At 57.6% G+C, this 15,768-nt stretch overlaps 1 protein-coding gene across 6 annotated transcripts in view, besides 3 other annotated features; it reads right to left on the reverse strand.

The window, feature by feature from the left end:
* Nucleotides 1-15,768, reverse strand: part of MAD1L1 (mitotic arrest deficient 1 like 1) — a 417,151-nt gene that overhangs the window by 64,146 nt on the left and 337,237 nt on the right. The window lies entirely within an intron of this gene.
* Nucleotides 3,434-4,223: an enhancer, noted in NCBI's record as "H3K4me1 hESC enhancer chr7:1923010-1923799 (GRCh37/hg19 assembly coordinates)". NCBI's record gives its function as "activates a minimal SCP1, AML or CMV promoter by ChIP-STARR-seq in naive and primed H9 embryonic stem cells {active_cell/tissue: H9 hESC(naive and primed)}" and the evidence as "EXISTENCE:reporter gene assay evidence [ECO:0000049][PMID:30033119]".
* Nucleotides 10,434-10,934: an enhancer, noted in NCBI's record as "H3K27ac hESC enhancer chr7:1930010-1930510 (GRCh37/hg19 assembly coordinates)". NCBI's record gives its function as "activates a minimal SCP1, AML or CMV promoter by ChIP-STARR-seq in primed H9 embryonic stem cells {active_cell/tissue: H9 hESC(primed)}" and the evidence as "EXISTENCE:reporter gene assay evidence [ECO:0000049][PMID:30033119]".
* Nucleotides 10,935-11,435: an enhancer, noted in NCBI's record as "H3K27ac hESC enhancer chr7:1930511-1931011 (GRCh37/hg19 assembly coordinates)". NCBI's record gives its function as "activates a minimal SCP1, AML or CMV promoter by ChIP-STARR-seq in primed H9 embryonic stem cells {active_cell/tissue: H9 hESC(primed)}" and the evidence as "EXISTENCE:reporter gene assay evidence [ECO:0000049][PMID:30033119]".

Below are 15,768 nucleotides of genomic sequence, written 5' to 3' on the forward strand. Positions count from 1 at the left end.
AGGATGGTCTCAATCTCCTGACCTGGTGATCCGCCCACCTCGACCTCCCAAAGTGCTGGGATTACAGGTGTGAGCCACTTCGCCTGGCCGGCAAACTGATTTTCAACAAAAGTACCAAGGTAATTCAATCAGGAAAGGATATTCCTTTAAACAAGAGTTGCTGGAATAGGCCAACTAGGACTCGCCACAACTCCTACAGGAGTGACAGGTGAGAACCGGACACACCTTCCGTATCCTCACAGTGTTCCTAATCAGCACCCCTCAAACCTGGGCTGATGACATCCATGTTTCCTGGGAGCCTGCCAACACCCGGGTTCCTGGATCCTACCTGTGGTGACCCAGGCTGGGCAGATGGGGCCACAGACAGCTTTGGGAAGCCCTGCACCAGGTCATGATGTCTCTGCAGGGCCCCCAGAAACTGAGGCTGTCCTGGTTAGAGGAGCTGGGGAGCTGCTAGGACCTCCCTGCAGAGCCCAAACTTGAGGAAAGCTGGAGCCTCAGAAGGAAGGGAGGCCACTCGACACAGTGATGACAAAGGGCCATGGCCAGGCTGCCCCAAAGTCCTCCCCTCCTTGAGCCTCCTGGCCTTTCCCCGCTCACTACAAACTGACTTCCTGCAGTCACAGTGGGCCCTCAATTTGGCAAACAGTGTAGTTCTTGAACCTGCGTGCGTCCCATCTCAGGGGCCCCACACCAAACCCCAGAAGGATGCTCACATACAATCTTCACTGCCATTTCCAAAGCAAGAGGAAGTACGGTGTGGTCAGCAGAAAGCACCCGGCCCCTGAGGGCAGGCAAGCTGTAGGGCGTCCCAGTCACTCACAGGACCCTGTGGAGGCAGGGATCTCACTGCTGATGGGGAGCCTGGGATCCAGAAAAGAGATGGAACTGAGAGACGGTGAGCTGGGAACAGCCCCATCTTCCCCGCTGCTCCCTGCCCAGGCCACTGCAGCCCCATGGTTCAGCTTAGGAGTGGAGCCTGGAGCCTGGAGGGGAAGTCTGGGCTGCAGAGCTGAGCTGACAGAGGGCTCTCTAGGCAGGATGCCTGGTTCTTTGCTCAGACCCTGTCCATCTGCAGAACCTTAGGTGAACCAGGGCCCCGGTGTGCTGATCTTCATAAGATGGAGACAGGAACTGCTCCATTACATACCTGGGGTTTCATTAAGATTATGAGCCATGACAAAGTCCTCCCAGCTCTGCAGTCTCAGAATTACACGAGATGAGCCAAGTCTCATTCCCGGAAGTCTTACATGGCTGAAATAGATGCAAAACAACTCAAATATGGGTTTAAATGGTCACGCATTTGAATTAACCCATTTATGCCTAGTGTTCCATTATTGGAACACTAAGCTTGTGGGAGTTATTTATATCCTGGTGTTCAAGGTCATCGCCAAGGTCTGATTTTTCACAAAAAAATTTGCAACCTCCAGCATAAATGGGTTAATAATTTATCCAATTAATTAATTTTATCCAAACTAATAATCAATCTACGAGGACCCTAATCTAAAGAAGTAGCCAGAGAAAGATCTGTGTGGACAGATGATTGCTGAGATGCTTTGTTACACAGCGAAAGATAAATCAACAGGTGAGTAAATAAAAAGAGGAGCTGGCTAAATGTCCTACAACAAGGAAATATTTTAAGTAAATTATGGCACAACTGCGAAATAGCACATTATGCAACCATTAAACACCATCATCGAGGAAATATTTAATTGAGCGTAAAATGCTCACGATATAGTGTCGAAGGGACAGAGCAGGAAACAAAACGATCTGTCACAGACCCGACTTCACCAGGAAACAGACATGAAGATGTGGGGAGGCAGAGGTGGTGGGAAGGCAGCAGACACGACCCGAGGCCCATGGTGCCCCCTCACTCCAGGTGACGGGTGATGAGCCACTGGCATCTTCTCCTACATACTTCATTAAGCCATGAGGAATTCTCTATGCGGATATGAGGAACGCTGTGATTTTGGTCAGCAGTCCTGTGTGGCTGGTGCCACGGTAGAAGGGTGATCTGAGCCACAGGCTTGCCCGTGTCCTTGGGCCCCACAGCTGGCGACCTCCCCCACACCCTCTCTAAGGGACCGAGAATCACTCTGAGCCTCCGCCTGCTTGAACCTGGCGGTGGGCAGACACCGTTCACCATGCACATCCACCAGGAAGGTCTGTGGCTGGGGCCAGGGCACGAGATGAGGAGGGGCAGCCTTGGGAGGGCAAAGCTCACCTTACTGCAAGTACCCCACCCTGGGCTGGATGCCCACACCCCGGGGTGCCTCGGGAGGCGAGTGTGCCGGGCAGAGGGCACCTGGGAGATGTTAGCACACGCGAACATAGTGCTTGGACATCCTGAACCACAGCTGAAGCAACAAGATGGGACGTGAAGTCAGCATGCGTTGAAAGCAACTCCACTCTCAATTCAGGGGACCCAGAGAGGCAAATTCAAATTAAGCTGTCTGTGTAGACCTCATTGCTCCAGCGGGAGATGGGAAGGCTTCAGAAGAGACTGTGAATGGCCTTGCCTGCCTGTCAGGGAGGGAGGGAAGGGGTGAGGGGCGCGCGGGCCGTGTTTGACGTTGCTCTGGCTGGAGTCTCCCAGGGACTGCTGGGGTGGCCTTGTCAGTTAACTACTTCCTATCAGCAACACCCGTGGCCACAGGGTCCTGCTCACCTCCTTTCCTCAGCCAGGCCTGGAGCGTGAGCACCTCTGAGGATGCCACACACCTGCACAGGGAGCAAGAAGGCTGCTGGGTGGGCATGACATGGGCTCCAGCCACTGCCCTGCCACAGGCCCGCTGCATGGCCCCTCGCCCCCCTTCCCACCGCTGGGGTCCACACCCAGGCCTGCCCTCCATCACCAGGGCGGCCGTGACTCTGATCCTGGGTCGGTGCTGAGGTGAGAAGGCACTGGCAGTTTTGCTCCTTTAGAAATGTAGAGAACTGAAGTCTTGAGAAACACCAAACCCTGCACCACAAACGGCCCCAGGAACCAGCTCTTTAACACCAAACCTGGTGTCACAAACGACTCCAGGAACCAGCTCCTTATCACCAAACCTCGTGCCACAAACGGCCCCAGGAACCAGCTCTTTAACACCAAACCTGGTGTCACAAACGACTCCAGGAACCAGCTCCTTATTACCAAACCTCGTGCCACAAATGGCCCCAGGAACCAGCTCTTTAACAGCAAACCTGGTGTCACAAACAATTCCAGGAACCAGCTCCTTATCACCAAACCTCGTGTCACAAACGACTCCAGGAACCAGTTCCTTAACAACAAACCTTGTGCCACAAACGGCCCCAGGAACCCAAACTACCAAACTGTGAATCACAAATGTCCACCCCTTCCCCCACCATGAGCTCCTTAACACCCGAATCCTAATTCACAAATGACCCCTGGTATGTAGGAGCTCCTTAACACCAAACTGTGACTCACAAACGGCCCCGGGGATGAGCTCCCTTTCCAGAGGCAGCAGTCTCTTCTGAATGCCTGGGGCCATGAGTCATGGGGAGGGCTGCCCATGCCCGCAGGATGCCCATTTCCATGGGAATCAGCCCAGCTCCCCACTGGCTGCTGCCTGAAGGCCAAGCTCCAGTGTCCCGGAGACCCTCGCTGACTTCAGCTTCAGCACCAGGGGACGGACAACTCCCTGACCTCTCATGTCTCCAACCTCCTCAGGCACAATCCACACAAAACACTTCTGCCCTGTCCAGGGCGGCAAAGAGGGTACCGTGGCTGGGGTCGCGGGGTCCAAAGCCTGATTTCACGGAGGCCGAGGCAGAGGGTGCAGGTCCAGGCTCAGAGGGCAGTCTGTGTGCCCCAGGCCGTATTAAAAGGAAGGCACCATGTGTCTCTATTACCCAGACAGCTTCAAACCAGATGCCAACTCCCAGCTCCGAGTTCCAGGACTCGACCGGAGCAGGAGCCTCGAGCGAAGCTGACTCTGACCTGCAGACCCTGACACACGGTCAGGCCAGGGAGCCTCCTGGATACCCGGGCCAGGGGAATCGCGTGCAGCTGAAGGAAGCCTGGAGGAGGAACCGCAGGCCCCGCGCTGCACAGTGCAGAGCCAGCTGGGGACTCCCCAGCATCTGACCGCTCCATCCTCACAACCACGCCAGAGCGAGCAGCTCATTCGAGAGAGCATGTGGCCAACAGGAGGCAGCACTGGGACCGCAAGCCAGAGTTGGCGGCTGGGCCAGTCTCCACTTGGGGCAGGGCCAGTGGCCAGGAGGGACGCAGCCGAGGCATGCACGGTGTTTGGTGGCACAGCCCTGCTCGCAGCTGCCCTGGCTGAAGAGACGTGGCCACCCACCCTCACACCTGGGCGCCCAAGAGCATGCCCCTGGCCACCCACCCATGGATCTCTGGCCATCCACCAGTGCACCCCTAGCCACCGACCCACATGTCCGGGCAGCCACCAGCTCCCCTGCCTCTGGCTTGGGAAGCCTGAGGTGAGCCCTGGACTCCTGCAGCCTCAGCGCCTCTGGCTGAGTTCCAGGCCTCAATGCTCTTGAGGAGCAACGTTGGGTCAGGGGCCTAGCCGGGATTCCCCACCACATGGAGGCCCTGAGGCCGTCCTGCTGACCTTCCCTCAGCCCAAACTCCCATTGCATCTTCCTGCCTCTCAGCCCAATCACTGCCGAACTTTATTTCTGTTCCAAAATGTCACCAGGTCTAAGAGACGACCGAGAGTGGCCTGGTGAGACAGCCCGAGAGGGGCTGGGCAGCAGGGGAGTTGTCTGAGTGGGCGGAGGAGAACCCCTGGTCCCACATGGGAAGACTGTGTGGAGCGGACCACGCCTGCGCCCTGAGGCCCCCAGCCCAGGCCTCCTGTCTGCTGTCCCACAGGTCAGAGCCCTGGGGGCAGCCTGAGCCACAGCAGGGAGGCCACAGCGCCCTCAGACGCAGGCGGGGCAGGCCGTGGGGCAAGGGGGCAGAGGGCATTCTGCAGCTTGGGGCAGCTGCTCTGGGGACACAGTGTGGTGGTGCGCACCCCTCACGTCGCCCTCCGGGAATAGGCAAAGTTCATCTCAGCTTTAGAATCGGGGATCACTGTGCATGAAGTTACCCGTGTTGGTCAAAACCCATACATGTGAATGGTGAGCACACTTCTCCAACAACCTAAGTACTTAGTCATCACCACTGGACCCAAGGCGGGGACCCAGGAGCAGAGGCCCTGTGGTAGAGTCATAGCAGGACAGGGGAAGAGAAAGGACCTCGCTGCTCCAGCCTCAGAGATGGCTCCGGGCTCCTGCATGGACGCCCCCACACACAGACACTACTTTCAAGGAACTGGTCTCAGGAACCACTCCCTGCCCAGAGCTCCACGAAGGGCTGCCTCTCACATGCCCTCTGCCCACACCACAGCGTCCCTCTCGCGGGTCCTTTGTTCTCGGTCTATCCCCAAAAACCCTGTGTCCCAGCTCTGCCTAGAGAAAGATGGAGAGGGCTTAACGAGGGCTTTGAAGCTCAAACTCACAGCAGTGAGCACCAGGCAGAGGCCAGTGCACTCAGACAGGAGAGAAGTCCAGGGGGCTGGGCTGCGGGTGTGTGTGGGCCACAGGGGTGCGGTCGGAAGGGCAGATTTCAGGCGAATGTGTGACACGTGGAGCTGTCCCACGGTGGGCCGCTGTAGCTCCTGCTTCCTGAGTGGCCCTGCAGGGTACGGGCTCCCAAATGTCCGGCCTTCAACCCCCCAGTTCCGTCCACCTCTGGCTAAGAGCTGTTGCCATGACAACCCCAAGGTGCCCACTCACCTGGCCCCGTGGCTCTGACTGCTGCCCCGTGGAGCAGAGGCAGATCCCCGAGGGCTCGGCAGCCCGGCGCCCAGAGCCTCTCCCTGTCTCGGCCCTTCCAGTCCTGTCTCTCTCCCTCCAGCCTGGCCCCTAGGCCGGGTGGGCCCACTCCTCAGGAAAGGAATGAGGAAAATGGAGCAGGGCAGGCAGACACCCCAGCAGGGACCCCTGCCCGGCATCTCTGGCCCCAGCCCTGGGGGCCACACGCCTGGCTTCCCATTCTATGCCCCCAGCAGCAGCTCTGCCTCCTCTCCTCCACCAGGTCCTACTGCCTCCACCCCACGACCGCCCCACCTGGGCCCTCACCAGCCCTCGTCCGCGTATCAGGGCAGCCTCATCCCAGCAACCTGCAGAGACCCGTGGGCATGTTTACCTTCTCGTCAGCCCAGCAGCACTGTGAGGGCCAGGTTCACTTCTGGGCACCTGGCGGCAAGCTCTGGGCCTGGAATGGCACAGGGCTAGTCACTGTCTAAGGGGCTTGTCCTCTGGGGGTAAGTACCCCTCCAAGAGCCTGGAGTCCTGAGTCCTGATCTGTGCAAGATCAGTGCACGGGAGATGGTGGGCTGGCAGATATGCCCACTTATTCACAAGCCTGCTTCAGAAGGAAAGAACAGGGCAGCTACCAAGGTCATGTCTACACCCGTTGGCAGCAAAGCGGATGCTTCATCTGAGAGTGATAAATCCTGTGCAAATCTCAGCCTGTGTCAACACGCCCCAGCTAGACAGCAGGTCCTCGATTCATGAGTCGACACCTCTGCATGGGCTCGGTGACAAGAATGGGCGGCTGAGTGGGAGAGCACGGTGGCACGGGCGGGAGAGGGCCCACCTGGGGCTCGCACACCACACTGTGTCTGCAAACAGGCGTGTGGGCGTGTGCAGGTTCTCTGCTCTCAACACTTCCAGGACAGCAGGGGTCAGCAGGACCCTGGGCCAGCCTGGCAGGAAGGAAGGCCTGAGCCTGGGCCTGTGATCTGGGTGACCCTGGGCAGGCCCTGCTCTGCTGGTGCCAGCTGTGGCCAGGCACATGGCACTGTGTGCAGACAGGCAGAGACCTGCTGCAGGGCTGGGGCAGCAGGTGAGGAGTGAGCACAGGTCTGTGGCCCTAGCCCTGCACCCTTCCTGGCCCAGGCCAGCAGCTCCCTGGGGACAGTTGGGGTGTGCAGCCGGACTCCAGAAGGTGGTGCCGCAAGCTGCTTCTCTCACACAGTCCTGCCCCGCAGGTTCCTGGTGAGAAGGCTTCAGGGCTGTCAGTGACCGCATGGCAGCGGCAGGGAGAACAGGAAGAAGACTCCACATCTCTTTTTCTAACATGGCGCTTTGCATACCATGGGCCTTCACAGCCCTTGAAACACTCACTCAGGCTAGGGGGGCTCCGGCTGGGCCCATGCTGCCTGACTTGCTTTCCCTGCCTCCTCTGGATCCAGATCACAGAAGCAGGTGCCACATGGGACGCCTGGGAGAGACAGAGGCCAACTGTGAGCATGTGTGTGTGAGCATGTGTATGTGGGGGTGGCTGTGCATGTGTGGGCATGTGTGCATGCATGTGTGTATGTGGCTGCCTGTGTGTGGGCATGTGTGTGCATGCATGCGCATGCGTGGCTGCCTGTGTACGTGTGAGCATGCATGTGTGTGGGTGGCTGTGCATGCGTGTACATGCATGTATGTGGCTGCCTGTGCATGTGTGTGTGTGCATGCGTGCATGTGGCTGCCTCTGTGTGTGCGTGCACATGTGCATGCATGTGGCTGCCCGTGTGGGTGCATGTGTGCATGTATGTGGCTGCCTGTGCGTGTGTGTCTGCATGTGGCTGCCTGTGCATGTGTGCAAGCATGCGTGTATGTGGCTGCCTGTGTGTGTGACCATGCATGCGTGTATGTGGCTGCCTGTGCATGGGCATGTGTGTGCATGCATGCATGTGGGTGCCTGTGCATGTGTGTGTGAGCATGAATGCATGTGGGTGGCTGTGCATGCATAGGCATGTGTGTGCATACATGCATGTATGTGGCTTCCTGTGCATGTGTCCATGTGTGCATGTGGCTGCCTGTGTGTGTGCATGTGTGCATGTATGTGGCTGCCTGTGTGTGTGTGCATGTGTGCATGTATGTGGCGTCCTGTGCGTGTGTGTGTGCACGTGTGTGTGCAAGCATGCGTGTGTGTGGCTGCCTGTGCATGTGTGTGCATGCATGGCTGCGGCTGCCTGTGCACGTGTGTGTATGCACATGTGTATGTGGCTGCCTATGCATGTGTGTGTGCATGCATGTGTGTATATGGCTGCCTGTACGTGTGTGTGCATGCGTGAGACTGAGCATGTGTGTGTGAGCCTTCATCCGTGTGGGTGGCTGTGCATGCATGAGCATGCATGTTCATGGGGCTGCCTGTGCCTGTGTGTGAGCATTGTGTGCATGTGGCTGCCTGTGCATGTGTGTGCATGTGTGCAGCTGCCTGTGCGTGTGTGCATGCATGTATGTGGCTGCCTGTGCATGTGTGTGCATGCATGCATGTATGTGGCTGCCTATGCATCTGTATGCATGGGTGCAGCTGCCTGTGCATGTGTGTGCATGCATGCGTCTATGTGACTGCCTATGTGTGTGTGTGCATGCGTGCGGCTGCCTGTGCATGTGTGTGCATGCATGCGTGTATGTGGCTGCCTATGCGTGTGTGTGCATGCGTGTGGCTGCCTGTGCATGTGAGCATGCATGTGGCTGCCTGTACATGTGTGTGCACGCATGTATGTGGCTGCCTGTTCATGTGTGCATGCATGTATGTGGCTGCCTGTTCGTGTGTGTGCATGCGTGTGTGGTTGCCTGTGCGTGTGTGTGAGCATGCATGCATGTGGCTGTACATGTGAGCATGCATGCGTGCATGTGGCTGCCTATGCATGTGTGAGCATGCATGCGTGCATGTGGATGCCTGTGTGTGCGCGCATGTGTGTATGTGGCTGTCTGTGCATGTGTCCATGCGTGTGTGTCGTGTGTGGCTGCCCGTGCATGTGGGTGGCTGTGCATGGGTGGGCATGTGTGAGCATGCATGTGTGTGTGTGGTTTCATGTGTGTGTCAGCATGCATGCATGTGGGTGGCTGTGCATGCGTGGGCATGTATTTGTGTCCATGTGTCAGTGGGAGCGTGCATGATGCCAGTGCGAGGGCAGGGCCTAGGACACGAGAGGTCGACCTGCTCCTCCCGCAATCACCCTGCAGTTCTCACTGATGAGCCATGAAAGCTTCCATGATGCACTCACTGACCTGCAGATCCTCGTGGCCTGATGTCGGCAGACAGTGGCAGGGATCCACTCAGCGCAATGTGGCAGGCATACGGGGTCCCCAACGTGCCTGGCACTTGCATACATACTGGCCAAGGTCACTGTCACCACGACCCTTGGGCAGATGCGATGATCCTGGCCCACATAAAGGAAGACAAGGCTTGAGGAGGTGAAGCCATGTGTCCAGGTCCCGGGGCTGGCAGAGGCAAGCGACATCCACACCAAGGCAGTTCTGGCCCGGGTCCAGTCCCTCCCACCACCCGACGGGGGCTGACTAGCAGTGACACCGCCAAAGACCACCTCCATTCAGCAAACACTCGGGCAAGGCCTCAGATGCTGAGGAGGCTGGGGGATGGCGTGGCTGGTGTGCCCAGAAAAGGTGGCATCCTCACGGGCACTCTTGCCATTTCCCTGGCCTCTGTACTGCTAGGGTCCCTCAGGAGGACCCCAGCAGCTCTGGACCCTAGGCCAGGCCCAGCCCAGGGGCTCCACAGCAGCCCAGCTGCACATCCTGAGGCTTGTCGGGGCCAGGCCTGCACCGGTGGTTCTGAAAATGCTCTCCCCAAGTGGAGCTGCCCCTGCACCATCTCCTATGTTCCCTGCAACGCAGAGAGATGCTTCACGGAGGCAACAGGCTCAGCCATGCGGCCTCCGTAGGCTCACCCAGCCAGGCTCTTGGAGTTACACGCTTCTTTCCCCTGGGCTGACTCATGCAGGACCTGGGCCACGTCCCCTCTGCAGGCCGGATGCTGCTGTCAGCTGAGCCTGCCATGTTTGTGGCTTGGCCCTTCCTCACCTTCTAAGCAAGCATGGTGGCTCCAGACCCAGCTAATTCCTTCCCCTCACCCCACCCAGGCAGAGGCCCAGCCACCCATGAGACTCCAAAGCTCAGAGCTGGGGGGCCTGCTGCCACAGCTCGTCAGGGGCCACAGCAACAGCTGGGCTCTGGGCCCCAGGCTGGTGGTGCCCTGAAGGCTGCCCACCCACAGGGCTGTGAAGGCAGCTGGGAGGTGGAGCTGCCTCCACTCTCAAGACACACAGGACCTGGGCCTTCCTGGCCCCTCTCTATGGCAAGAATGGGGAATCATCTCCTGGGAGGGGCATGTATCCGTGGGAGGGTCTCACTCCTGGACCACACGCTCTGTCTGGTGTGGGTATGGTGGGCTCGGATCCCCGGGAGGGTCTCACCCCAGGACCACGTGTTCTGGTGTGGGTACTGTTGGTACGTCCCTGACAAGTCTCATATTGAAATGGGATCCCCAATGTTGGAAGTGTGGCCTATGGGGAGGAGGTGTCTGCGTCATGGGGTCACAGGCCTCACCCACAGCCTGGTACTGCCTTTGAGGGAATTAGTGAGGTCTCTCTCTGTTTCCATGAGAGCTGGTTGTTAGAAGGAGCCTGGCACCCCACCCCTTTGGCCTCCTGCCATGTGATCTCTGCCCAAGTGGGCGGTTCCTCTTCATCTCCCGCCATGAGTGGACGCAGCCTGAGACCCTCACCAGGTGCACACGTGCCCACTTTTGAACTTAGCAGCCACCAGAATTGTGAGCCAAATACACTCCTTTTTCTCTAGAAACCACCCAGTCTCAGATATTCCTTTATAGCAACATAACAGGCAAAGACACCAGGCAAGCCCATCCTGCCAGTTTCCACGGAGGCCCAGGCTGTGCCGGCCACTACAGGTATGTCGGGGAGAGGAGGAGGGAGCCCCGAAACCAAGGCCACCTGTGCTGTTTTATCAGCTCTCCATCGCTCAGCACCTGAGAAGGGGTGCTCACGGGCCCCACTTTGTCCTTGGGGAGCTGAGGCCAGAAGTCATTTCCCAGGGCCAACCTGCTGTGGTAGAGGAGTCTGGACCCTGTCTGACGCCCATGTTCTCATTTTTCCTGGGGAGGTGCACAGCCTTCCTGTCTGGGATTTCCACAGTCCATGCAACAGTGAGAATGCGGGACCCCAGCAAGATCAGACAGACGCCAGCAGCGGGCTCTGTGCGGGACCTCGGCGGGATCAGACAGACGCCAGAAAGCGGGCTCTGCGCCACCTCCCCTTCCCCTGCTGAGGTCCGGCAGGGGCAGCAAGGATGGGCAGAGGGGAAAAAAGGGTGCACAGAAGCGACACCCCGGGCCAGCACAAGGACGAGGGGTGCGGGGCTATTTCTTCTTCCCAGGAAGGCTGCTATACAAAAACATTTTTCTATAGCTGTAGGATGTGCTTGTGCTTTAAGCTAAGTGTTATACAAAACAAATTTTAATAGGCTGGGTGCGGTGGCTCACGCCTGTAATCCCAGCACTTTAGGAGGCCGAGGAGGGAGGATCACCAGGTCAGGAGATTGAGACCATCCTGGCCAACATGGTGAAACCCCGTCTCTACTAAAAGTACAAAAAAATTAGCTGGGTGTGGTGGCGCACCCCTGTAATGCCAGGTACTCAGGAGGCTGAGGGAGGAGAATCGCTTGAACCAGGGAGGCAGAGGTTGCAGTGAGCCGAAATCGCGCCACTGCACTCCAGCCTGGTGACAGAACAAGACTCTGTCTCAAATAAATAAATAAAATTAAAAAGTTTATAAACTCAAAAAGTTACAACAAACTTTATTCTTATTATTATTAGAGATGGGATCTCACTCTGTCACCCAGGCTAGAGTGCGGTGGCGCGATCATAGTTTTCACCGCAGCCTCTAACTCCTGGGGCTCAAGTAATTCTCCCGCCTCAGCCTCTGGAGTAGCTGGGACGATAAGCAGGCGCCACCACGCCTGGCTAAGTTTTAAATATTTTGTAGACACAGGGTCTTGCTATGTTGCCAAGGCTGGTTTTGAACTCCTGGGCTCAAGCGATCCCCCCACTTCAGCCTCCCCAAATGTTAGGATTATAGGCACAGGCCACTGTGCCCAGCCATTCATTTATTATTGAAGAAAAGAACAGTATTTTTAATAGTTGAGTGTAGCCTAAGTGGTACGGCATTTATAGTCTCCAGTTGTGCACACTCATGTCCTAGGCCTTCACACTCACTCACCCTCATTCACCAGCTCGCCCAGAGCACCCGCCAGCCCTGCGAGCTCCGTTCACGGTGAGCACCCTACGCAGGTGCACCGTCTTCCACCCTTCATACATCATGTTTATGGCACCTTTTCCATATTTAAACACGTACAGACACGCAGATGCTTAGCACTGCGCCACGGTGGTCTACTGCATTCAGCACAGTCACGCACTGCACACTTTTGCAGCTTGGCAGCAGCCGGCTAAACCATGCGGCCCAAGGGTGCGGGAGGCTGCACGGCCCAGGCTCGTACAAGTCATTCTAGGAAGTTCCCGCAAAGACAACACTGCCCACCAGCACGTTCCTCAGCATGCATCCCTGTCATCTGGCAAAGCGAGACCGTACTAGACTTACACATATACACACAGGTGAGTGCTGAGTATCCCTTATTGGAAACGCTTGGGACCAAGTGTCTGGGATTTCCAGATTTTCAGGTTGTCAGAATATCTGTATTACGTGCTTACTGGTTGAGTAAGCATCTCATGCAAATATTCATCCCTAATCTGAAAATCTGGTATCGGAAACGCTCCATTAAGCATTTCCTTTGAGTGACAGACCCACAATAAAAAAAGCTGTGGATTTTGGAACATTCCCGACTTCAGGTTTTCGAATCGGGGAGGCTGGACCTGTATACCTTTCCCCCTCATCCATATGACAAACCCGGTAGGTCGACATCGCCACATGTTTGTGCAGTTCCGGAATCTGTGCCGTCCACGCCTCTGGCCCTGACGCCCACCCTGCAGGCCTCTGAGCCGGGGAAGGCCCTGGACAGCAAGGAATGAGGAGCCTGCTGGAACCAGTGTGTCTCCCAGATCCCAGAAGCTCACGGTTTTGCCCCAAACTGCATTTGCTCTGTGTCCCCGGCCTGGTCACTCCACTTCTTCTTACCACTGATTTTCTCCCTCTCGTAACAGAAGGCTTCCTTCCCTGGGTTTTGAGAAGAGGGGAAAAGGGAGGTGGGGAAAATTCCGTGAGAACCACTGGGAGGAGTGCAGCCGGGATGGAGAGACCAGGAGCTGAGCCTCCCCGCTCCAGGCCCAGGCAGAGTATGGCCTTCCCAGGAAGCTCTAGGGACTCTGGAATCTCTATCCCCTCTCAGGAGGGAGAGGAGCAGAGGCAGCAGGTTCCCGCTGGGAAGAGCTGGAGCTGAGATTTGCCTGCCTTTCCCCCAAACGGCAGCCCAGGCAGCCAGCTCCCTCCACCCACGCGGCAACAAGAGGTTTGGTCCCGGCTGGGATGGGAAGTCCTGGCTGGGATGGGAAGTCCTGGCTGGGATGGGAAGCAGAGTGGCGGGGGACTGTGCGGCAAACCCTCAATTATCCCAGCACACATCTGTGGAACCCGCTTGACTGGAAACGGCTTCGGCTATTTCTAACTCTGTCTGCAGCCCCCTTTCTGCCTGAAGAATCATTTGGGGGAAAATCTGATAAAATAAATGACATGGCCAGGAGGCTGGGGTTTGGCGAGATCTTTCAGGAGCACGGGAGCCACGTATGCCAGCCCCCAGGTGGAGTGGGTGGGGCAGGGGGCCTGTCTCCCTGCTCTCCCTGCCCTCCCACACTGGCCTCTGCCCTCCGTGGCCCTATCTCAGGAGGGTAGCTCAGGGAAGACCCTCCTGGGCACACCTAGTGATGCTCAGCCCCCTGAGGATGCCTTTCTGAAGCCAGGAGGCCAGGGTCAGGGCCCCCAGGGAGCACCCAGACCACATTCCTCATGACAGATGGGGAAACTGAGTCTCACAGGAGTGCAGTGGCCTGGCCAAGGCTGCACACCAGGGTCAGGAGCTGCCCGGGACAAGGTGACTCCACAGTGTCTCTTATCTCTCCTCTGGACAGTGGAGACCAGGGCCACCGCTGCATGGCCCCAAGGAGTCAGTGACCATCTGCAGGCAGAGGTGCCAACATGAGCCCTGGCCCTACAGGTTGGCTGTTGTCTGTTCACTGTTTGTCTCTTCCCTTTTGCTCCACTGAAACCTGTTTTTCTGTCTGTCTGGCAGAGCCCTAGACTGCCCTCTCCATAAGCCAGGCCCTGAGCTGGGGGCGTGGAGCTGCTGCGAACAGTACAAGTGCCTCTCCTGTCACCAAGCTTGGTGTCCTGGATACAAAGGAGGCAGGAATGACAGGTGGATGGGGCAGGACTGATGCTGATCTCCTGGTCAGAGCTCCTGCCAGAAGACTTGGCAGCTCTAGCGCTGTCTTCTTGGAACCCAAGGGGGAGGATTTCTCAGGAGGCCAACGGCCTCACCCAGTGAAGGGCAGCTCGGAGGAGGACTTGGGAAGAGTCGGCTTACAGGGAGCCTTTGAAAGCTCCCTAAATGTTGCAGGCCCTCCAGAAGGTCTGCAGGGACCAGGACACACAGGGCCGGCAGAGCTAGTCACAGCTCTGGGAGAAGCACGGGTGCACCGTGGGCTGGAGCTGAACCAGCCAACAGGGATCCCGGTGCAACATGACCCCTCCCCAGCTCCACAGGTGGCACTTATGAGACTTGCCTCTTGCAGCCTCCGAAGTGAGCCACAGTTACTTCTACTCCACAGGTGAGGAGACTGAAACTTGGGGAGGTGAGGCTGCATGCCCAGTGTCAGCCCTCATGAACATGCTCTAAAGGCCCATATCCAGCAGGCGATCCCTCCACATCAACCAGATGGGGCGCAGGAAGGTCTGGGAGGCCCCAGCCCTCCAAAGAGGGGAGGGGGCGAGCGGGGTGCTAGGCACAGCTGCTAGCAGGGCACATCAGCTGGGCAGGACAGAGTCTGGAGGAGGAGTGGGAGAGGGAGGAGGAAGAGCAGGAGTAGAGGGTGGGGGTTGGGTGAGGCTGGGGGAAAGAGGCTGTGAAAAGAAGCCTAGGGAGAAATGGAGCAAGAAGCATCTTTAAGAACCAGGCACCCAGCAGTGGGGGAGAAACACAGGAGGGGCACACTTAGGCCCCCTGGGGACCCTCAAGGGACAACGAACCCAACAGGATAAAACCTCCGGCAGACTCGCCTGTCAGGAAAAACACAAGGTGGCACGTGTCCTAGGAGGGAAGCCAGCGGAAGAAGGGTCCCACATCTGGGGAACCCAGGAGGGCTTCCTGGAGAAGGTGTCTACAAGCGAGCTGGGCCCAGGTGAAGAGGATGGAGCAGGTGGGCCTTGATGCTGGGGTTCCAGGGAAAACCGCAGACACAAGTTGGCAGCTTCTTCCTGCGGGGACTTCACTGCTCAGAAATGAAACCGATGGACCAAGGTGGGGTCTTGGCAACCATGATGGATGTGCCAGGAACATGGCCCCACTTACTCCTGTGGGTCAGACGTAACTGTACCTGCTTTACAGATGAGGCAGAGGCCCAGCCAGCACCCCCCTGGCAACAGCTGCACTTGGGCACCAGCCCACAAGCTCACCTAGAGTCAGCCCCCTGCCTGGGTTGCCCAGAGCTCCCCATGCCAGGCCCACCCCGCAGCTCTCAGCCCCGCCTGCAAACATCAACTTGTAAAGCCCTTCCATACTTTACTTAATCTCCCTGATCCTGTGAGCTTCAAGCATGAAAACACAGTGCATGTCACACATGGGGAAAGTGGGTAAGCTAAAAGCAACCTCGTTCCCTGACACTGTCCACCTGAGCCAGCCCCCGGAACACGGCCCAGAGCAGGCATGGTGGGTGGCCGGAAGGGTGGGGAGCGGGGCCTCTGCGGGCACCAGGCCTTGCTG

Source organism: Homo sapiens, chromosome 7 (genome assembly GCF_000001405.40).
Source record: "Homo sapiens chromosome 7, GRCh38.p14 Primary Assembly".
In the NCBI taxonomy this organism is placed as follows: Eukaryota; Metazoa; Chordata; class Mammalia; order Primates; family Hominidae; genus Homo; species Homo sapiens.